The sequence below is a fragment of the Homo sapiens genome, chromosome 11 (assembly GCF_000001405.40).
Source record: "Homo sapiens chromosome 11, GRCh38.p14 Primary Assembly".
Taxonomy (NCBI): domain Eukaryota; kingdom Metazoa; phylum Chordata; class Mammalia; order Primates; family Hominidae; genus Homo; species Homo sapiens.
In genome coordinates, this window is record NC_000011.10 from 76,053,710 (window position 1) to 76,077,391 (window position 23,682).

General features: G+C 39.4%; 1 protein-coding gene across 10 annotated transcripts in view, besides 1 other annotated feature; it reads left to right on the plus strand.

Annotated features, from left to right (window-relative positions):
* Window positions 1-23,682, plus strand: part of UVRAG (UV radiation resistance associated) — a 329,023-nt gene that overhangs the window by 238,500 nt on the left and 66,841 nt on the right. For 7 of the 10 annotated variants that reach the window (NR_170160.1, NR_170161.1, NM_001386671.1 and 4 more), the window contains one exon: window positions 12,001-12,079. Coding sequence is in view for 8 of the 10 variants with exons in the window: in NM_001386671.1 (NP_001373600.1) it covers window positions 12,001-12,079 (79 nt within the window). In the remaining 2 variants the exon portion in view is untranslated. Of the gene's footprint in view, window positions 1-12,000; window positions 12,080-12,231; window positions 12,475-12,784; window positions 17,356-20,154; window positions 22,571-23,682 lie in introns of those variants that run through there. The other 3 variants (NM_001386673.1, XM_047427521.1, NM_001386674.1) reach the window with 3 other exon arrangements.
* Window positions 4,607-4,792: a silencer, noted in NCBI's record as "fragment chr11:75769360-75769545 (GRCh37/hg19 assembly coordinates)". NCBI's record gives its function as "represses an EF-1alpha promoter that drives an FKBP-Casp9 reporter gene in an ReSE screen in K562 erythroleukemia cells {active_cell/tissue: K562}" and the evidence as "EXISTENCE:reporter gene assay evidence [ECO:0000049][PMID:32094911]".

Consider the following 23,682-nt stretch of genomic DNA (forward strand, 5'->3'; position numbering starts at 1 on the left):
ACCTGTAATCCCAGAACTTTGGGAGGCCAAAGCAGGCGGATCATGAGGTCAGGAGATCGAGACCAGCCTGGCCAACATGGTGAAACCCCGTTTCTACTAAAATACAAAAAATTAGCCACACATGGTGGCATGCGCCTGTAATCCCTGCTACTCGGGAGGCTGAGGCAGGGGAATCATTTGAACCTGGGAAGCGGAGGTTGCAGTGAGCCGAGATTGCGCCACTGCACTCCAGCCTGGTGACAGAGCAAGACTCCATCTCAAAAAAAAAAAAAAAAAAGTTATTATCCTCTCATTTTCCTTAAGGATACAGTATAGGTTTGGTTTTCTTGTGGTTTATAAACCCTTGCATAGTCTGGTACCTGCTGATCTTAGCAGCCTAATCTTACGGCACTTCACCCCTCACACTCTTTTTTTAACCCTAGCTCCTAGCTGTTTAATTTCACCCGTAATTTTATAAAAAGATGGCAATTCCATTCTGTCAGTTGCTTAGGTCCAAAACTTTGAAGTCATCCTTGACTCCTCTTCCTCTCACACCTCATAGAAGATCTGTCACCAGATCATGTTGGCTCTGTCTTCAAAATGAGAGAATCCAACCACTTCTCACCACCTCCACAGCCACCATCTTGGTTCAAACCGCTGTCTTCTCTTGCCTAAATTTTTGCAGTAGCCTCCCCTTGTTTCTTTTCTTGCTCCCCTGCAGTTTATCCTCACAGAGCAGCCATTAAACCCTCCAGTGCTTCTCCTGTCATTCAGAGTAAAAACTGAAGTCCTTGCTGTGACCTCCAGGACCCTGCATGATGTAAACCGATTCCTTTGCTGACCTCATCTCCTGGTCCTTTTTCCCTTACTCTGCTCCAGGCACTCTGGTCTGCCTTCACTTCCTTGAATGTGACTATACCAGGCATTCCTGTCTCAAGGCCTTTGCACTTTTCGTTTCACCTGCCTGGAACACTCTTCCCCAGATAGCTTCAAGACTTTCTCTCACTTCCTTCAGGTTTTTGTTCAAATGTAATCTTCTCAGTGAACCTCCTCTTATTTGTCATGTCTCTCTCACTGAAGTGTAAGCTTCATGAAGACAGGAACTTTTTTTGTCATTTTGTTCACTGTGTTAGCACCTAGAAGAGTGCCTATCACAAGGTGATGATGCAGTAACTATTGCTAAACAAGTGAATGAAGAATAGTATTTGCTTTATTTGTCCAGTGCTCATTAGAGTCTTTGGTATAAAGTAAGTAAATCATTTATTGATTGAATCAGTTCTTTTACTCTAATTTCAAATGCTCTTACGTCTTCTCTCTTTCAAATTTCTGACCTTTACTTTCTTCAAAACTAGTTTTAAATTTTCCACCTATAGGAAGCTGCCTACGATTAATCCTGTCACTCAGACTGGAGTGCAGTGGTGTGATCTCAGCTCACTGCAACCTTCATCTCCTGGGCTCAAGTGATCCTCCCACCTCAGCCTCCCAAGTAGCTGGGATTACAGGCATACACCATCATGCCTGGCTAATTTTTGTATTTTTAGTAGAGACAGGATTTTGCCATACTACCCAAGCTGGTCTCAAACTCCTGGGCTCAAAGGATCCACCTGCCTTGGTCCCCCAAAGTGCTGAGATTATAGGCATGAGCCACCGCACCAGCCTGTTTTTCTCTTATTATTTACTATTAGCTAAACCTTTTGTTTGTTTATTTATGTTGTATCCCAAGATTTTATTATGAAAATTTCTAAACATACAGAAAAGTTGAAAGAATCTTGTAGTGAACACCCATACACCCACCACCTAGATTCTGCGGTTACATTTGCTGTACCTGTGTTATTGTATCTTTCCATTTATCTATCTGTTTATCTATTATATCAACCTATTTATTTCCGTGAATCTTAAAGTAAGTTTCAGATATCAGTAGACTTCCCCTCAATGCTTCATCATGCATATGATTAACCAGAGCTCAGTATTTGTTTATGGTTCTTTTTTCTTTTGAGGTAAAATTTATATGTAATGAAATATACAAACCTTTTTTTTTTGAGACGGAGTCTCACTCTGTCACCCAGGCTGGAGTCCAGTGGCAGGATCTCGGCTCACTGCAAGCTCCGCCTCCCAGGTTCATGCTATTCCCCTGCCTCAGCCTCCTGAGTAGCTGGGACTACAGGTGCCCGCCACCACACCTGGCTAATTTTTTGTATTTTTAGTAGAGATGGGGTTTCACTGTGTTAGCCAGGATGGTCTCGATCTCCTGACCTTGTGATCTGCCCACCTCGGCCTCCCAAAGTGCTGGGATTACAGGCGTGAGCCACTGTGCCCGGCCAGAAATATACAAATCTTAAATGAACTATTCTGAGTTCCATCAAATACATAGGCATCTGTGCAGTCCAGCACGTCAAGATACAGATCATTGACTCTCCCCTGAAACTTCCCTCTCTCTTTTTTCTAGTGAATCACTGTCTTTCCCAGTCCCCTGCTTAACCATTGTTTAACCGTAAGCATGCAGTATGAACTTCTTTACATAAGGCTTCTTTCACTTGGCATATTATTGTAGGTTCTTTCATCCTCAACACTTAGGTGGTTTTCAGTTTTTGGCTATTGTGAGTAAAGTTGCTGTGAACATTTTTGTACATGGTATTTTTGTGGGCAAATGTTTTCATATTTCTTGGGTAAATACGCAGGAACAGAATTGCTACATCATAGGATAAGTGTATGTTTAGTTTTATAAGTAACTGCCAGACCTTTTTCCGTAGAGCGTAATGTACATTTTATACTCCCACTCAACAATATATAAGAGTTCTGGTTGCTCCACATCTTAAGTCTCTTTTAATCTGAAGGTTCTCTCCTTCTTTATTTTTCCTTGCATTTTTTTCCTTGTTGTATAAGTTAAACTTACTCTGCAGATCCCTGTAAAGTTCCTCACATTTTGAATTTTGCTGATGGTATTAACATGTTTATCTTTCCCCTGTGTTACCTATAAACTGGAGATAAAAACTTAGTTGATCATATTCAGTTTTCTTGGCAAGAATACTTCATAGGTGTTACTGATGCTCCCTTTTATATCACATTTGGAAGCATATTATGTCTAGTTATCTTTTTTGTGTGTGTAATGTTAAAATTGATTAGTACCCCTGGCCACTCTTAGTCTAATCTGCCCTCAGTAATCTTTCTGAGGAAGGATTTTAGATTGAGTGACCTGCAGTGGTCTCTCTAAGGGTGATTCTGATCAAAGGCTAGAATGACAGGAAAGTGTCAGCTCTGGGAAGATTTAAGGAGCAAACACTTAAAAAACAGAGAATAGCAAGTTCAAAAGTCCCAAAGTAGGAAACAATCTTGGCATGTTCAGGGAACAGAAGGAAAACCAGCATGACTTGAGCATAGTGAGTGCCAAGGAGAATGACATGAGGTAGCAGTGGCTTTAGCCACGTAAGGCCCTGTGGGCTACCCTGTGTGGTTTAAATTTTATTTCAAGTGCAGTGGAAAATCTTTTGATGGTTCTAAGTAGGAGACTGGGTGCCACAATCAGATTTGATTTTTTAGGATCAGTTGGCTATGGGAAAGAGGGGGAAAATGTCCATTGTTAATCATGCTTTTCATAGATTATAACTTTAGCCCGAACCAATGGATATCTGTTACTTTCTGTGTTACTTTAAATTGATTATGATGTTTAAAATGAGATATCACTTATGGGGGAAGGTTAAATGGCCCTTAGTGTAAAGTTATTAATCCAAAGAAGAATGGAAACTTAAAAAATAGATTTGAATACAGTTAAAATATTAAATGATAAATGGAAACAGAAATATTATTTTAAAATGGCTTATTTTTTAAAGAGTACATTTTGGACTGGTTAATAAATGTAACTTTTTAACATGGAAACAGATGCTGAAATATTTTCAGTCCCCAGTGTAACCCCCCACAGCCAGCCATTTCCATCTCACGTGCCTATGGCCTGCCTTATGCTTTCACAGCATTACCATCAACAGTTAAAACTTCAGTGACACTATACAATGTAGCAGAAAAATGCAAGATGTTTTTTTTTTTCCCCCTCTTTAGTCTTGGCAGGGTAAAACATGGTCCTTTTTACTCTACCAGGTGCTTTACTTTGGCCATAATAATTTAGTATGGGTCTATAGCTTTTGGTCACTTCCCTTACTCGATCATGGGGGAAAAATAGGGGCAGCTTGCATGCTGCTGGCATTTTACATTAACATTTTTTTCACAGGTTTTTGTTGTTGTTGTTGTTATTGTCGCCCTGGAGGACTTGAATGAGGCTCGTGTGGTTTTTTTTGTTGTTGTTGTTTTGTTAATTGCTTCTTTGAAGTGCATGTAGCCTTAACACTTATCATAGCCAACCAAGAACTGGTTGCTCCTGATAGTAGGTCATCCCACCAGTTATACAGACTGGTATTCCACAGGAGGAGCCCAGTAGGTATTCATGTTATAATCTATCCCAATTTCTGAACCCCTAAGCATACCAGAGTTAACTCACAATTTACTATAGTTGTTGTAGGGGGGACTTTGGGAAAATAAACATTGAAAAACGTCTTTTAAAATGAGTTTTAGGTCCGGGCATGGTCACTCATGCCTGTAATCTTAACACTTTGGGAGGCTGAAGTGGGAGGATTGCTTGAGCCCAGGAGTTCAAGACCAGCCCGGGCAACATAGTGAGACCTTGTCTCTATCCTCCCGTGCAAAAAGTTAGCCAGGTGTGGTAGTGCACACCTGCAGTCCCAGCTACCTGGGAGACTGAGGCAGGAGTATTCCTTGTGCCCGGGAGGTCAGAGGCTGCAGTGAGTCATGATCATGCCACTGCACTCCAGCCTGGGAGACAGAGCAAGACCCTATCTCCAAAAAAAAAAAAAAAAAAAATTATTGTCTTTGGCAGATACCCTGATTTAATTTTGGTCACTTCTTTAAATGTGATATAGCTGTCAAATAAAGCATGAGGCAGCAAGAACAAGAATTATGCACATGTGAATGTGAATCATGAAATGTGGGAAAATTAATGCACTACCACCAGAGCATGAGATAAATGAATATGGAAACAACTACCAATCAATCTCTAGGCATTAAATGGGCAACAGGAAGGTCAAAGGAGAATCATTGAGTCCTGGAGTGGTCAAGGGCAATTTAAAAAGGAATGTGACAACTTGAACTAGATCTCATAAAGGATGGAATAGTATTTAGATAGGAAAGCAAGAAAGATGGACACCTTCGAGAAGTAAGTAAAGGCAGAGAAAGAAAAGTGAACTTGATGTGTTTGTGACACTGTGAGGAAACCTCTTGAGCAAAAGGTGACAGATAAATTGGGCAGATGGGTCAGATCACTTAGGCCTCGAAAGGTAGGCAGAGGAGTTGAAATTTAAAACAATAACTGATTATGAAGCAGGGCTGAGAAGTGACATGATAAGAGGTCTTACTTAAAAGAAAATAATAACTTATATTTGTGTCATGCTTTACAGTTGCAGTGTACTTTCTCAATCTTGTGGTGTTGTATCCTCACAAGATACTTGTGAAGAAGGCAGGAAAGATGATAGTTTCTCCACTTTACAGCTTAAGAACTTAGCATTAAACTAGTTATGATTTACCCAAGTTCATATAACAACTAAGTATGTAATGGAGCTGAGACTAGAAAAACTATGTCTTTTCTGTTGTAATTCAGTTTTTAGAAACCTACTGGGCTTCCTAAAATCAATCTGACAGTGATATGGAGAATGAACTGGCATTAAGGATTCTGGCTAGGTAGTAAGCAAATTGATAAGAGCTTGGACCAATGATTCTCAACTGGAGGCAGTTTGAACTCCTTTCCCCACCCACCCAGGCAACATTGGGTGATGTCTAGAGACATTTTTGGTTATCACAGCTGGGAGTCGAGTGCTATTGGCTTTTAGTGAGTAGAGGATAGAGATGCTGACCTTTCTAAACATCCTGTAGTATATAGGACAGCACCCCACAACAAAGAATTATCCAGAGTGGCAGCAGGAATGGAGAATGTTACAGAGGGGAAATGATTTGTCAGCTTGGTGAAGCACTGCATATGTAAAAGGCAAATCAGGTGGGTAAAGTTGAATGCCACTCTAAGTCCAAGTAATTGATAGAGAAAAGTAGTAATGGCAAACTAGTCTGGACAGGAGAAAGTATACCGAGTTTGAGGTAAAGTCATTGCCTCAGAATATATTGAGTCCATGTTGTCACATTTTCTATAAATACGAATGGCAGAAGTAATCTTAATATGTATGATTTAAAAATTTGAATTAACTATAGCCATGTCCTCATCCCCAGTTGCCATCAAATAACTAAATCTGGATGTGAGGCTCTGAAGGTGAAGGCAAGAAACTATTAGCAGCTTGGAGTCCTTTGTAGAAATGTCTGGGTTGGTGGGGAGAGGGTAGTGTTTATAACAGTGTATCTTTTATAAATATTTAAAGTTTGAAAATCAGTTTCTTTTCACAGTTTTTTTCAAGTTGTGTGTGATCTATTTTTCATGTGTTGCGTCTCTGTAGGTGTGTATATGATATATATGTGAATTAGTAAAAAAGAAAAATCCTGCTCAGACTCAGCCTGTACATAGGAATTTCTTTTTTTGGTACTTTACTTACCAGATTTCAGTCGGTCTACTTTGCAACCTTACCTGCTACCTATCATGATGACTCTTTGGCATTAGAGTCTCAAATCTTTCTTGGTTCCTGAAGGAAAAAATGAAATTGAGGGGTGACAGCGTGCTGACAGCCCTCACTCGCTCTCAGCGCCTCTTCTGCCTGGGCTCCCACTTTGGCGGCACTTGAGGAGCCCTTCAGCCCACCGCTGCACTGTGGGAGCCCCTTTCTGGGCTGGCCAAGGCCGGAGCCGGCTCCTTCAGCTTGCAGGGAGGTGTGGAGGGAGAGGCGCGAGCGGGAACCAGGGCTGCAGCACGGCGCTTGCGGGCCAGCTGGAGTTCCGGGTGGGCGTGGGTTTGGCGGCCCCGCACTCGGAGTGGCCGGCCGGCCCTGCTGGCCCCAGGCAGTGAGGGGCTTAGCACCCGGGCCAGTGGCTGCCGAGGGTGTGCTGGGTCCCCCAGCAGTGCCAGCACACCGGCGCTGCACTCGATTTCTCGCCAGGCCTCAGCTGCCTCCCCGTGGGGCAGGGCTTGGGACCTGCAGCCCGCCATGCCTGAGCCTCCCCCTCCTCCGTGGGGATCCTGTGTGGCCCAAGCCTCCCCGACGAGCACTGTCCCCTGCTCCATGGCGCCCAGTGCCATCGAACACCCAAGGGCTGAGGAGTGCGGGCGCATGGCGCGGGACTGGCAGGCAGCTCCACCTGCGGCCCTGGTGCGGGATCTACTGGGTGAAGCCAGCTGGGCTCCTGAGTCTGGTGGGGACTTGGAGAACCTTTATGTCTAGCTAAGGGATTGTAAATACACCAGTCGGCACTCTGTATCTAGCTCAAGGTTTGTAAACACACCAATCAGCACCCTGTGTCTAGCTCAGGGTTTGTGAATGCACCAGTCCACACTCTGTATCTAGCTACTCTGGTGGGGACTTGGAGAACCTTTGTGTTGACACTCTGTATCTAGCTCATCTAGTGGGGAGGTGGAGAACCTTTGTGTCTAGCTCAGGGATTGTAAACGCGCCAATCAGCGCCCTGTCAAAGCAGACCACTCGGCTCTCTGTAAAATGAACCAATCAGCAGGATGTGGGTGGGGCCAGATAAGAGAATAAATGCAGGCTGCAGGCACCAGCAGTGGCAACCCGCTGGGGTCCCCTTCCACTCTGTGGAAGCTTTGTTGTTTCGTTCTTTGCAATAAATCTTGCTGCTGCTCGCTCTTTGGGTCCACACTGTGTTTATGAGCTGTAACACTCACCGCGAAGGTCTGCAGCTTCACTCCTGAAGCCAGCGAGACCACGAACCCACCGGGAGGAACGAACAACTCCAGACGCGCCACCTTAAGAGCTGTAACACTCACTGCGGAGGTCCCAGCTTCACACCTGAGCCAGCGAGACCACGAACCCCACCAGAAGGAAGAAACTCCCAACACATCCGAACATCAGAAGGAACAAACTCCGGACACACCGCCATTAAGAACTGTAACACTCACCGCGAGGGTCCGCAGCTTCATTCTTGAAGTTAGTGAGACCAAGAACCCACCAATTCCGGACTCAAAATTATATTCAGTATGTTTAGTTTCACATATTGAGAATTATAACATCTTGGAGTTGGAGGAGATACTATACCTCATTGAGTCCAGTGGATCATCCAGTATTTGATTCCTCCTGTGTTAGTCTCTCAAGCTACTGTAAATTACCAGAAACTTGATGAGATAAACAGCAGAAATTTGCCTCACACAGTTCTGGAGGCCAGAAGTCCAAAATCAAAGTGTCATCAGGGCCACACTCCTTTCTTTATCCTTTCCAGCTTCTGGTGGCTCCAGGCATTGCCCGGCTTGTGGCTGCATAACTAAGCTCTGCCTCCATCTGCACACAACCTCTTTTCCCTTTGTCTCACCTCTGTGTTTCCTTATTACGATACTTACTAGATTGAGGGCCCACCTGAATAATAAAAAATGATCTCAACTCAAGATCCTTAACTATTTTAGATCTTTTCATCAAATAAGTTAACTTAGGTCCCAAGGATTAGAATATGGACATATCTTTTTGGAGGCCGCCGTGTAACCCGCTACATCCACTGAATACATGTGCATTGTTTGTGTTTGTCGCCCTTCTCTACTTGGCTGCCTGTAACCAAGATCTTTAGGATTTTGAATAACTCTGTAGTGAAATCAATCTCCTGTAACGCATATACCATTCACTTTGGTTCTCCCTGCTTGAAGCCATGCAGAAAAAAACGAATTCTTTTTCTCTCTGAAAGTCCTTCATTTGTTGTCCCTGAGACTGCTATCCTCCAGGACAAACACCTCTGGTTCCTTCAACAATTTCTCTCAATACTGACTTCTGTTCCCCTAATCATCCTGGGTTTGCTTCTCTAAAGCATTCAGAGGCAGTAGAGAGAATACTGGATTTATTATTGAAGACCTAATACTGAAGCCATGTCTCTTCCACTTCCTACTTAGGTGACCAAGCCAAATCAGTTTATTTTAAATAACAATAATACTGACTACTTCATTGTTTCACTGCATGCTTTATATAGTTAAATGAGATTGTTATAAACGTTCTCTAGAAACATAACCTTTAAGTAAGGATATGAGTGTTCTTCTGTCTATTTATAAAATACTTTCACTCCCAGAACTGAACATAGGTCTCTCGGTACAGTCTAACCTAGTACAAAGTAGTTATCACTATCACGTTCCCCAGCTGAGCTGCTCTGCTTCTGTTACCGCAGCCTGGGATCGCATTAGCTTTTTTGGTAGTCATCGCATAATTCTTAACTCATATTGAAACTGTTCTGTACTAAAGAGTTCCAAATATTTTTCACAAATAATCTTTTTTAAAAAAAATTCAACAAATATTTATTGCGTTCTGCTAGTAGCAGTGCGTAGAGACTTGACAGAGAGGCAAAGAGGAAGAAAATAAAATTTCTGCCCTCTTGGAGCCTACAGTATCATAAGGGAGACACACATGAACCAAGTAATCACACAGTGAGTGTAAATTTACAATCTGAGACAGACTGGAAAAAGAAAGGGTTGCAAACTGACCTAAGCCAGTTTGATAGTTCACAATGATACAAGTATTTACAGTAGATAAAGGTGGGCTCTGATAATTAAGATTGGATTTCTGCAGTTCTCCCCACTAACCTCTTCACCACCTGTTGTTAGTTAGAGTGACAGTAAGGCTCAGATGGAATTCTGTCACACACGTAATCTATTTATTGCTTTCTAATTCCTTGATTTTTCTACTATTTATAGAAAGAGCTACAAGGTATGGTTCAAATAAGGCCATTTGAAGACAGTAGAGTCGGTGAATTTTCAATGTGGAAATTTAATTTAATTTGAAAATAATATTAGCCATTTTAATTGAATATAATAATAAATTGTATTGAATCTTCATAGGAAATATATAGTTCATCCTCCAGTTATTTAATGTAATACTCCTTTAATGAGTCCTCTTTGTGGTGTTATGGACCTGCTTCTGGTTGTACTTTAATGACCACATTCTTATCTAAAGCTTCTATAGCTTGCTAATGTAATTCTCCAATATAAGATTTGTATCTTATGTTCTGACGATAATAGGTTTTACCCTTTAAAATGGGTATTTTTCAAGATTGATAGATCTATAAATACATGTACTTTTGTAAAGTAAGATGAATGCATGATAGTTATAAGCTATTATACTATTCAACTTCAAGTGACCTAAGAATTTGAAAGCAATATAAAATGTAAATTCTGTCCTAATATTCGATCTGTCTTTGCATTGCCTTATCCGAACCATACCTTGTGGCTTTTTGTATAAATAAGTCCCACTGAAGTCATAATAAAGTCAAATGTTGTGAAATCAATTTTTTAGGAATGTTGAAGCTTGGTTTTCAATGTATGCTGATCTCAATTTACTCTTCTAACATACGAAACAGTTTCTAGATTTATACCTTGAAAATAGAGATAGCTATGGGTTTGGAGAGCTGTTCAGATAGTCTACATTTGAAGCTTATAGAATAACAGCTAGACAGCACAGAGGTTTAGGACCGTAGTAGATTTTCTCTAAAGTGCCCCTGTTGGGTACTTGCAAATACGTCGTTTCTTTGCAGGCTACCCCATCTGAATTTGAATGATTCCCAGACATCTTGCAACAGCCTGGTGTTACACTTTGCTTATCCTGAATTTGCTATGCTGTCATTTTTATGCATCTCAATTTGAGGCCAAACCACATGTCCTAGTTTATTTTTTACTGTTTCAATTAAATATGAAGCTCTGTCTTCTTGATGGGTGTGTGAAGCATTTGGTGTTCCTTTAGTAGAGAATAAATACAGTTCAGGACCTTGCTCAGTCCCCAGTGCCTATAATTTTATAGTGTAACAAATTTACCTTTGGATACTATATAGCCAGCAACTCCTGAGAATTTAATATAAAGCCCTTAAATTCTATTTCCTTTATTTTATTTTCTCTAGAAAATAATATCCTCTAGGCTTTATGGAATGTATCTTTTCCTCAGGCAATTAAAAGACAATTGAAATTAAGACTAGTAATTGTCACCTGCCATTCATTTCAATAAGATTATTTTATTCTTGAGAATAATTGTATATCGCAGAAGTAAGGAAGATGAAGTTTTCTTCTTGACCCTAAGTAATAATTGATCTGTTTGTAAAGAAATCTGTATCAGATGCTAAAACTTTTGCTTGATCTTAAGAATCAGAAAACAATGACTAGACTATAGGTATGCTCTAAACTTTTCTTCATTTGCAGGTGTAAAGAAGGGGAATAGTGAGGGGAGTTACTCTCTAAAATAACTCATTATCTTTATGAAGATCCAGATCTCATGCCTTTGTTGCTCCAGTGAGGCAGGTTAAAATGGAAATTCATGTATGAGAGCCTTATGGCATGAGCACATTGCCTTAGAGAAGTTGCATCCAAATAGCCATCCCTGTAAATGTGAATGAATATTTTAATGAATTTTGGCTCATATTGGCACTGTTGATTTCACTGGTCACCTTAAAAGAAACAGAAATCTTATATATTGCTTCTAAGTCTGATTTCTTTTCCTTCTTAATCTTCCTCTCCCATTTAGTAGAAGTTGAGATGTCAGGTCCAAGATATTAGAGGGAAAAATTTCTGGTATCTTAATCTTAGCTAAGGTGGCAAGTTTATGATATGTAAATAGGAACCAGTGGCCTCAACTCCTTGGGGTGGGTTGGTCACTTTCTTAAACATTAGTTCCTTGTTCTGTGACCTGTTCACTTTTTCTTTTGAAAGAAAGCAGCCGTTATTCTGACTTAATTAATATTATGAAGATGTCAGTAGATTGCAATGACTATAGCTAGGTGACTTAGTCCAATTCAGATGTTTATGCTGTATCTAAGAAACTTCAGCCTCTGTTGACAACTTGGAGGTTGTATTTACTCAGCTTTTGAAAATATCTGATCCTTTTTTACCTTTCTTAGGTTTCCACTGTATCCAAAAGGAGGGGAGAAGTTGCAGTTTGATTATGGTGTCTATCTTCTGAACAAAAATATAGCACAGGTAAGTCTCTGTTCTTCACTTCTCTCCTACTTCCCATGCACAGCCTGTTTCCTTAGATTGCCAGCCTTTTTTCTTTATAAATATGCACTGCAGTTGACCCTCGCATTTAACCAGTTACATTAGTAATACACAGTTCTTTTTTTTGATCACAGTCTTTTTCCGTGCCCTTAAAATGACTACAGAGAAGCAATGAATACAAATTGGAATCCTCTTGCTACTTGCTAAACTCAGAATCTTTTTTTGTATTTTTACTTGCTGGTAGACTATACTTCGATGTGTGGGCTTCATCATCTCTTGCCTCTGCAGCTTGACCAATTGTAATTTTCTTAGACTATTTCTAGGGACTCAATTTGCATTGTTGTTTATGGAGTAAAAGTTCAGTGCCTTTGCAAGTACTTCATGGTCTCCTCACTTTATTATTCAGGGCCCGAAGGAAAAGACCAAGCACATGACCCTTCCAGTCTGTCTTAGATGTTTGTGGCACTCTCAACATCACATCAGTTAGTATGCCACTTAAATAATGTCTTTCCGTATGCCGTAGTAAGACTATCAGATGCCTAGGTTTGTATTTTCCTGAAAGAAATATGTAGCATTTCTTTAGAACTTCTGGCCCTACTTCAAGATGTAGGCATTCCACAAGTTTTCTAATTATAAAGGAAGACTAACTTCCTTTGTTTTTTATTTTTTTTTGTTTTTGTTTTTGAGATGGAGTCTTGCTGTGTCACCCAGGCTGGAGTGCAATGGCGCGATCTCGGCTCACTGCAACCTCTACCTCCCGGGTTCAAGTGATTCTCTTGCCTCAGCCTCCCAAGTAGGTGGGATTACAGGCGCATGCCACCACGCTCAGCTAATGTTTTGTGTTTTTAGTAGAGACGGGGTTTCACCGTGTTAGGCAGATGGTCTCGATCTGCTGACCTCGTGATCCGCCTGCCTCAGCCTCCCAAAGTGCTGGGATTACAGGTGTGAGCCTTTAAAACACCCAGCCTATTTATTTTTATAAATAACAAGTGTTTTGTTTTGTTTTCATTGGACATCCTTCCAACTGGAATATCACATGGATGAGTATCCACAATTTGGCTTTTATTTAAATACATTGTGAGCTATATCCTCAGACCTTTTGGTTTTACCAAAGTAATAAGATTTACGATGCTTTTGTTTTTGTTGGCCTGTGTTGCCATTTATCCACATGAACCTAACGACTTGCTAAACATTCCCTTATTCATTTCTGATCAGTCTAGAATTATTCCTCTATGTGGTGTCATCTGCCACTCTTCCCCTTAACCAACCTCAGTTTAATGGTGGAGATTTTTTTAATTTGTTTTTTATTAAGATTGTTGTTCTCTTCTGAAATTGGGTCAGATTTCTGGATTGCAATCCTCAGTTTATCATTTGCTTCATCCTTCACACTCATTGTCCTCTCAACCATACTACTTTTACTGTTACTTCCACTCCAGCTCCAGGAAAGCAGCCCTCTGACAGTCTCTGGCCCATGACTCACCTTTCCATGTGCCATTCTTCCCACAACTGATGCTTGCCCATTCTGCATTTTTGGCAGACAAGTATTTCATTCAAAGAAGCAGGGCTTTAATTCCAAGACTGCCGAGCTCCCACTCCGCTGATCACAGTTCTGTCATGCCATGGAAAAGGCAGTGCTTAAACAGAACTTGTCAAAAGTGCTCAGACTGAGGCCAGGTGTGGTGGCTCATGCCTGTAATCCCGGTACTTTGGGAGGCCGAGATGGGTGGATCGCTTGTGGCCAGGAGTTGGAGACCAGCCTGGGCAACATGGCAAAACCCCATCTCTACTAAAAAATACAAAAATTAGCCAGGTGTGGTGGCATGCACCTGTAATCCCAGCTACTGGAGAGGCTGAGGCATGAGAACCTCTTGAACCCGGGAGGCAGAAGTTGCAGTGAGCTGAGATCGTGCCAGTGCACTTCCAGCCTGGGTGACAGAGCAAGATTCTGTCTCAAAAAAAAAAAAGTGCTCGGACTAAGACTGCACTAAGGAAGAAGTAAATTAGAGGGCTCCTCCAGCGATGTCAGCCGTGGTGGAAAGAGCATGTAGATACTACAGGATCCAGTTTGAGAGTAAAACTGGCATCATTTAGTAGAACTAAGTTCTGATTTGAGTTCAGAACTTCTCTTCTTGCCCTATTTTCTCTTTCTTGCTCTAGGCACTTAGATCCTAAGGTCAGAAGGCTATTGGAAGCTTCCTGGTGAAACTTACTCCTGCTGAAATGCCTGTATTTCCTCATATATTCCAGCTTCAAACATACACACAATATGCACATGTGTACAGATATACACACACATGCACAAACACACTTCTTTCTTCTCAAGGGCCCAAAAGGATGGTATGCCAAAAGATCATATAAAGTGTTGCTAAGAATACCACAGCTTGCTTTGGGAGCAAGACCAAGATGGAGGCTATGTGCAGGGGAAAACTTAGCAAAGTCAGCCCTCCTCATCAGACTCTCAACTCTAGGGCCTGTTTGATCCCCACTTCCCAAGAGGCCTCTGACTTTATTATTAACTGAACCAGGGCCACAAGTATGCTGACCTAGTTTTACTCATCTGAGAAATGGATTGCTTGTAGTAATTGTGTATCCTCTCCAGCTTTATATATGCTCTTTGAAAATTGAGAGAACAATCAATAGGTTAACTACTCTGAATCCATAGGGAGCAAGTATCCTCCTCTGTGGATTTTCTTTTTTTAATCACACTGGAGGCAGTTTTAAAAGGAGGGGACAGTAAACTTCTTAAAAACTGGCTTTTTTATATTTCAAAATGTATTCGGGAAGCCCTTTAAGCAGTTAGAAACTTTTAGAACAGTTGTGACCTTTCACTTTTTTTGCTTCAGCTCTGTCTGTTCTGTCTCTCGCTGTTTCTCAGGGAAGCTTTCATTTTGTCTTTGACCTTACTGCCATCACTTTTTCACGTTTTGATTTGTAACAAATGAAAGAACCATTAATTGTTATGGCTCCTAAGCGAGCATTGTAGCAATCAGGTATTTCCAGCTTTTGAAGGTTTATTTTTATAGACATATAGACTAATATATGTTGTCAAAGGGGAGTTTGTCTTCTCAGCCAGTTCCATATGTACCCATCTTTTAAGATGTGAACAAATCATACTATTAAAATGGCCTCACCTCAGTAATTTATAAGCCACATTAGTGGAGGTGGATGAAAGCATTGGCATGTGTTAAAGTGCCAGAGAAAAAGGAGTGAAGTCATTTAATACTGCATCCATAACTTGGTTGAGGATTTGAATAGTCAATAGGACCTTTCATCACAACCAGAAGTAGTAGTAAAATCACTTTTTTGGTAGAGGAAATGACAGAATTTAGTAATATTTGTTACTTCAGTATTTGGGATCAGTCCAGCCCAAGTTTTGAAAGCACAAGCTTAGAGAGACAGGCCTTCAAGTAGAAATCCTCAAGTGTTGTTTGAAGAGCTGAGAGCACTGGTAAGGCCTGCTTGCCCTCTTCATGTCACTGCTGTCTAAAGGTGTGTGTGTGTGCTGGATTAAGTACTGAGAGTGAGTGAAGCAAAATGCCTTGTTTTCAGCACCATATATTAATATTTGTTAAGTGCCAGCCTCTTCAGTTAGAAATAGCCTTCCTTCTTGGCTAGCATGTAATGCTATAGGAATGGGCCTGTCAAAATTCAGGTGCAGTATAATTGACGTTGACTTTAAAAACCAGATCCTGCCATAATTTCAGTTAGTTCATAAGTACATTATATTAGAATTTGTATAGAGAACAGAAATTTGCTTTTAATTCTCAGAGCATAAAAATTAAATGGAAAACAAAAATTATAATACTTTTATCTTATATTTGTGGGAGCCTTATAGTTTGTAAAGTACATGCATATAAATTCACATGATCCCTATCATCACCCTGCAAAGTAAAAAGGGCAGATGCTATTAAATCGATTTGAGGACAGCTTGGCTTTTGACATTTGTCCCTCCAGTGTCATATCACATAATTTGATAAGTGTGGCAGAGATCCCCTTACTTCTATATACTTCACTGTTCTATATATTTCCATCCTTAAAGTGCACCAAATCAAAGAAGACGACATTCCCAGATAGAAAAGGAAGCAAACGTTTTTTGAGAATGGAGACAAAAACTATTTTGCACATCATAATTTTTCCATTAGCAAGCACAATGCCAGAAACACTGTAAGTTCTAAAGAAATTAATAATGAATGGTGATATAGCACCATCACACAAGAAACTAAGATCTAGAAAAGTTAAGTGACTTTAATGAATTTTAAAAATTGTGATACACAAACACAACGCACACACACACAAATAGAATATTATTCAGCCTCTGTAAAGGACATACTGCCATTTGTGACAATACAGATGAACCTGGAGGATATTATGCTAAGTGAAATAAGCCAGACACTGAAAGACAAAGACTGTATGATCTCAGTCATATGCAGAATCTTAAATGTAAAAGTTGAATAACTAGAAACAGAGAGTAGGATAGTGATTCAGTGGGAGGGAGAGGAGGAAATAGGAAGAAGCAGGCTAAAGGGTATACAAATTTGCAGTTAGATAGGCTGCATAAGTCTAGGGATATAATATACAGAATGAGGATTATAGTTAGTAATATTGTATTGTGTACTGAAAATTTGTCAAGAGAGTAGATTTCTACAGTTTTTATCACACACACCCATGAATATGTTAATTTGTTTGACTGCTATAATCATTTCACTATGTATATGTATATCAAAACATCATGTATACCTTCAAACATCTTGTACCCCTTAAATTGATACAATATAAAATTTTTTTAAAGTTAGGTGACTTGCTTATAATTCATTAGTTTATTCAACAGTATTTGTTGAGCATGTACTGTGTGCTGTGTACGCTGAGTTAGGTTGCAGTGGGTAGAGCAATGAATAAGATACACTAGATCCCTGATCCCTGCCTCGTTAATATGCTAGACACAAAAGGACAAATATTGTAGCGTTCCATTTATATAAGTATCTACAAAAAGCAAACTCATGGAGTCAGAAAGCCACATTAGAGGGCTGGGGGAATAGGAGAGCTATATTGCTTAATGATTACAGTTTCCGTTGGGGTGATGAAAAAGTTTTGGAAATAGGTGGTGACAACCATTATATATCATTGTGTATGTAATCAATGTCACTGAATTTTACACTTAAACATGGTTTAAATGGCAAATTTGAGTTGTACACTTTAAATGGGTGAATTGTATGTTATGTGAATCATATCTCAATAAAGCTGTTTTAATAAAAGAAAAAGAAAGATCCCTGTCTCGTTAAGCTTATAACCTGATGGGAAGAGACATACAATAAACAGAGAAAGTCATTTTAGATTGCAATAAGTGCTGTGATGGAAATTAATTAGGTGATATAATAGAAAATAAGTGGAAAAGGACCTACTTTAGATTAAATTGTCAAATAACCCTTATTGAGGAAGTGACTGTTGAGCTTAGATATGAATGATGACAAGGAACTAGCCATGCAACCAGCTAAGGAACAGAAAGTTCCTGAAGGTCATGGGAATAGCAAGGGCAAAGTCCCTGAGGTAGGAAAGAGCTATGTTGAGGTAACAGATGGAAGGCTGATGTGGCAGGAGTGTAGTAATTGAGTGGCAGAGGTACCCAGGGAGCATAGCACATAAAACCTCAGAGACCACAGCAGAGTTTCCTAAATTATTCTAAATACAAAGGGAAACCATTGAGGGAAGATTTAAGCAGGAAAGTGGCATGATTTGATATGTTTTTTCCCAACGATCATTCTAGCTACTACTTTTTTTTGGCCCCACCCACCCATCTCCACATTCTAGCTACTTTAATGGATTGCAGGGAACTAGAGTTGAAGCAGAGTTACCAGTTAGAAGGCTATTTCAGAAGACCAGATTAGGGGCAATGGTGGTTTGGATCAGGATGGTAGGGGTAGAGATGGAGAGAAGTGAACAGATTTGAAATATATTATGGGACATGAACTAGTGGACTGAACGTGGGAGATGAGGGAAAAAAAGGAATGTCAAGAATGACTCCTAGGTTTTGTGTATGAGCAACTCCTTTAATGTTACTGCCATTTATTGAGATGGAGAAAGATCCAGGAGATGGGAGTGGGGCAACCAAAAGATCTTCTTTGCAAATGTTAAGTTTGAGTTACCTATTAGAAATCCAAGTAGACAACAGGATATATAAGTCTGGATCTCAGGACTGGAGGTCAGTACAGGGTATAGAAATTTGGGACTCATCAACATAAGGATGGTATTTAAATCCAGAGAACTAGATGAGATTACCCAGGGAGAGAACGCAGAGCTGAAAAGAGAGAGAGACAAATACAGACACACACGTACAGTGGGATTTAATCCTGGGAAATTACATTTAGAAGTTGAATAGAGGAGGAAGAACCAGCAAAAACTGAGAGGAATGGACAGTCAGGTAGGGAGAAAATGAAGAGAGAGTAGTAATTTGGAAACTAAGAGGAGTAAATTTCTGAATAGAAGAAGTCATCAGTATGTCCAGTTATGGGTTTGTAACTGGAGATGACTATGGGATTAAGGGAAGTTTCTTTTTGTTTTTGTTTTTGTTTTCAACCTGTTTGTTTTGTGGGAATGTAGAATGGTTTGTTTGCTTTGTTTTTTAAGATGGCAGATATCAAGGCATGTTTATGCTGATGAGAGTGAGCCTTTGCTCTTGCCACTTATCCCAAATTGCCTTTTTCAGATGCATGAAGGATGGTGGGCTCTGGGTAAGGAAGAGAACAGGGAAAAAGTCCAGCTCATTATTTATCTTATAAAAGGAAGACTTTTGATAGGTATGATATAAATGTATAGTTCTTAACCACAACTCACACCATACTGTGAATATATTTTTAATGTGAAGATGAATTGGCCATCTATATAGGCATTGAATTAGTTTAACTTTTGAATACAGTGAAGAGAGCTATACTGAAACTAAATAATTTTCTTCCAGATTGTTGGTACTGAGCCTTTAGTAGATTTTCTGAATAGTTTCACATGAGTGTGCCAACTGTACAGAATTTAAGTGACAGATTCCTTTTTCTTCTAGAGCAGCAGTGTAATCAGTCCCTGGTTCCTTGGGGATCCCCAACACCCTCAGTAGGTCTGGGAGGGCGGAATTATTTTCATAATAATACTAAGACATTTTTGCCTGTTTCACTGTATTGACATTTACATGATGGTGGCTAAAATTGCTGGCCACTTAGAACAAATCAAGGCAGAGGGACTAAACTCAGCTAGCAGTATTTGTCTTCTGTAAGACTGTGTACTCATAGTTTATATATATATATTTAAAATGGGGTTCAATTAAGAATGTCCTTAATGAAGCAGTAAAAATTATTGATTATATTAAATCATGACCCCTGAGTGCACACCTTCTTAATATTCTGTGTGTTGGAAAGAGAATATGCATAAATCACTTCTGCTGCATACTGAAGTACAGTGGTTGTTTCAAGGAAAAGCACATGTGCAATCGAGTTGCTAAGTGAACTACCTTCTTTTTTAAAAGCCTTGTCTTTACTTGAAAGAATGACTGACAAATTATGGTTATTTAGACTTAAGTATTTGGCAAACATTTTCTCAAAACTGAATGAAGTGAGCCTGTCTCTTAAAGGAAATCAACTGATGATAAAATTCAGGATTTTAAATGAAAATTAGAATTCCAGATCGCTTGTGTCTGCCACCATGAGATTGGCAGCTGCCCAATCCTTAAGGATTTTTTTGATAAGATTGGTAGTGATAATAACACATGTGATTTTTAAATAGTTTATAATGGAATGTGTCAGCATTAAAAATATATATAACTCAATGAGCCAATGTTTTCCAAATGACCATTGTATAATGCTATGAAATCATACGTAGGTAAAGATCCTTTCAAAGTGCCAGAAAGACCAATGGATTTTAATGTAAAAGAGTATGAAAACTTTATTGATAGGGTTTCAGATTCTGCATTGCTACTAGTACCTTTAAAAAGCTATTACTTAATGAGGTTGGGAGTAGTATCAAACAAGAATATCCACAACCATCTGAAAAAGCACTTAAAATACTCCTTTCTTTTTCAGCTGCGTATCTGTATAAGGCTGGATTTTCTTACTAAACAACACATGGTAACAATGAGTGCAGAAGACAATGTGAGACTCCAGCTGGCTTCTATTAAGCTAGACATTGCAAAACAGACTTGCAAAAATGTAAAACAATGTCACTCATCTCACTAAGTTTCTTTTTTGGAAAATTTGCTTATTTTTCATTAAAAATATTATTTATATTAACAAGTAATAGATTGCTATTGCTATTTTTGGAAGAATTCACAAACATGCAAAAGTTTTCTTAATTTCAATTTTTAATATGATAATTATTGATACATATGACCCATATAAATGAAAGCCCTTTGGGGTCCTCAGTCATTTTAAGAGTATAAAGGGATCTTGAGACTAAACTTTTGAGAACCACTGTCTTAGAGAATGTGGCCATCCAGATTTTCTGTGAAACTCTTCAATTGCTCCAAGACACATGTGTCATTTCCCCAAATGTGGAAACATAATATGAGAGACCTACCAATTTGCATTCCAGGAATGATATGTAGTACAAGTCAGAAGGCTAGCAGCTATCAGTGGATTCTTCCTTGTTGCTTTTGTAAGCCAGGCCTCTTCTCTCCTTTTCTGAAAGCTCAATATTTAAGAGTATTACTTTGAGGGTATATTGTACAAATAATAATGATGATTTACATTTGTATAGAATGTAATGGCTTTGGAGTGTGTATTTTTATTTGTGTAGCTCATTTCATACTCTATGAAGTATGTTGACCAAGTCTGTCTTTAGAGATAAGAAATTGAGCTGCTGCTATGCTGATTTCCTGGGGATGACAAAGCTATTAAATGGCAAGCAATTCAAAACCAAATCCAGTTATATCCTACTAACATTATTTGTTTTTCTTTTTAATTTGGGCCTTCCTACAATTCTGTGAGTTAGACAGGGCATAGACAATTATCTGCATTTTACAGAAGAGCCCCCTGAGACAGTGAGTTAAGTAGAAGAGCTAAAATTAGAACCTGGGGATTTCATGACTCCCTTCCTTTTACCCTATTACTTCTCTTCCCCTTCAAGTTAAGACTTCATAGAAAGTAAAAATAGCTTCTCCATCCAAAACAGCTGGGAACCCCTGTTCTGCCAAGGACGTGATCCTTCTGTAAATCTTTACTCCTGGGGCCCACAGTGCACAGCTATTTAGAAGGGATCAATGCCAGCTTCTACCCAGCAGCTTAAATTCATGTATATTTCTTTAACATACAGCCAAATGTATGTGACACATGAGAAGAAAATATGCTTTTATTTTCATAATTCTTGGAATCAAAAATATAAATTCCAAGGATGTTTTAATAGTCAAAATGCCTTTCCCCAACTACTGCATACAAAATTTGCCAATAATAATGGTGGAAGCTCTTTATAAAAAGTACTAAATTTAAAAAAAAGTTTACTGAGATATATTTCACATAACATACAATTAACCCATTTAAATTGTACAATTCAGGCCAGGCGTGGTGGCTCACACCTGTAATGCCAGCACTTTGGGAGGCCGAGGTGGGCGGATCACTTGAGGTCAGGAGTTTGAGACCAGCCTGGCCAACATGGTGAAACCCTGTCTCTACTAAAAAAATACAAAAATTAGCCGGGCAGGGTTGCAGTCGCCTGTAATCCCAGCTACTTGGGAGGCTGAGGCAGGAGTGAAGGAGTGGCTTGTACCTGGGAGGCGGAGGTTGCATGAGCCATGCCACTGCACTCCAGCCTAGGCAATAGAACAAGACTGTGTCTCAAAAAAAAAAAAAAGTATATAGTTCAGTGGCTTTTAATATATTCACCAAATTGTGCAACTATCACCACGGTCAATTATAGAACATTTTCATTGCCCCCAAAAGAAACCCTGTACCCACTAGTAGTCATTCCTCATTCCCTCAGGTTCCCCATCCCTGGGCAGCTACCAGCCTACTTTCTGTTTCTATAGATTTGCTGTTCTGGACATTTCTTACAAATGGAATCATAAAATATGTGGTCTTCTGTAACTGGCTTTATTTGCTTTCCATAGGCTCAAGGTTTATCCATTTTGTAGCATGTATGAGTCATTCCTTTTTGTAGCCAATTTTTTTTGCAGTTGGAAGATGTGTATGTATATACGACATGTTATTTATCCATTTACGAGTTGATAGACTTTTGGGATGTTTCCATTTCTTGGCTGTTATAAGAATGCTGTTATGAACATTTGGGTACAAGTTTTTGTGGGGATATAGTTTTCATTATTTTGGGGTGTATACCTAGGAGTGGAATTGCTGAGCCATATGGTAGCTATGTTTAAATTTGAGGAATTGCCAGACTGTTTTCTAAAGTGGCAACACCATTTTACATTCCCACTACTAATGTACAAAGGTTCTGTATTAGTCTGTTCTCATGCTGCTAATAAAGACATAGCCATGACTGGGTAATTTATAAAGGAAAGAGGCTTAATGGACTCACAGATCCACATGACTAGGGAGGCCTCACGATCATGGTAGAAGGCAAAGTAGAAGCAATTTTACTGTGTTACATGGCAGCAAGCAAGAGGGCGTGTGCAGGGGAACTCCCCTTTATAAATCTGATCTCACATCAGATCTTGTGAGACTTATTCACTATCACAAGAACAGCACAGGAAAGACCTGCTCCCATGATTCAATTACCTCCCACTGGGTCCCTCCCATGACACGTGGAATTATGGGAGCTACAATTCAAGATGAGATTTGGGTGGGGACACAGCCAAACGGTATCAGGTTCCAATTGCTCTGTATCCTCACCAACACTTATTTTTCTTTTTTATTATAGCCATCCTACTAGTTGTAAATGGTTTTGACTTGAATTTTTTCTAATGGCTAATGATGTTGAGTGTCATTACTCTTTTATGTACTTATTGGCCATTTGTATATCTTCTTTGGAGAAATAACTATTCCAACCCTTTGACCATTTTTAAATTAGGTTGTATTTATTTATTTATTTATTTATTTATTTATTAGAGGCAGATGACAAGACCCCATAATAAAAAAATTAGCAGGGTGTGGTGGTGTCCAACTGTGGTTCCAGCCACTTGGGAGGCTGAGATGGGAAAATCACCTGAGTCCAGGAGGTCAAGGCTGCAGTGAGCTGTGATTGTACCATTGCACTCCAGCCTGGGCGACATGGCAAACCCTGTCTCAAAAAAAAAAAAAGATGTCTATTGAAAGAATGAATGATGAATGAGTCAGTCAGAGATTGTTCTTTCCTCTTTAAGGTTGATAATTAAACAACTCATTTCTGTTTAATGTATATTATATATTGTATATATAAAATATATAATATATGTAAATATTATATATACACACACACACATCTCTTGTATCTATTTAATGTTTTAATTGAGGTCAAAAAATTATATTTATTTATACATAGTTTTTTCCAAAAGTTCTATTCTGTGTTTAAAGGGATAACATACTGCATTTTTCTAGTTGCAAATGATTGGTTAAGTGTTCATGTATTAATTTTTCTGAGAGCCATCATTAGCTATTAACCAATGTGCTAGACATTTTTAATGT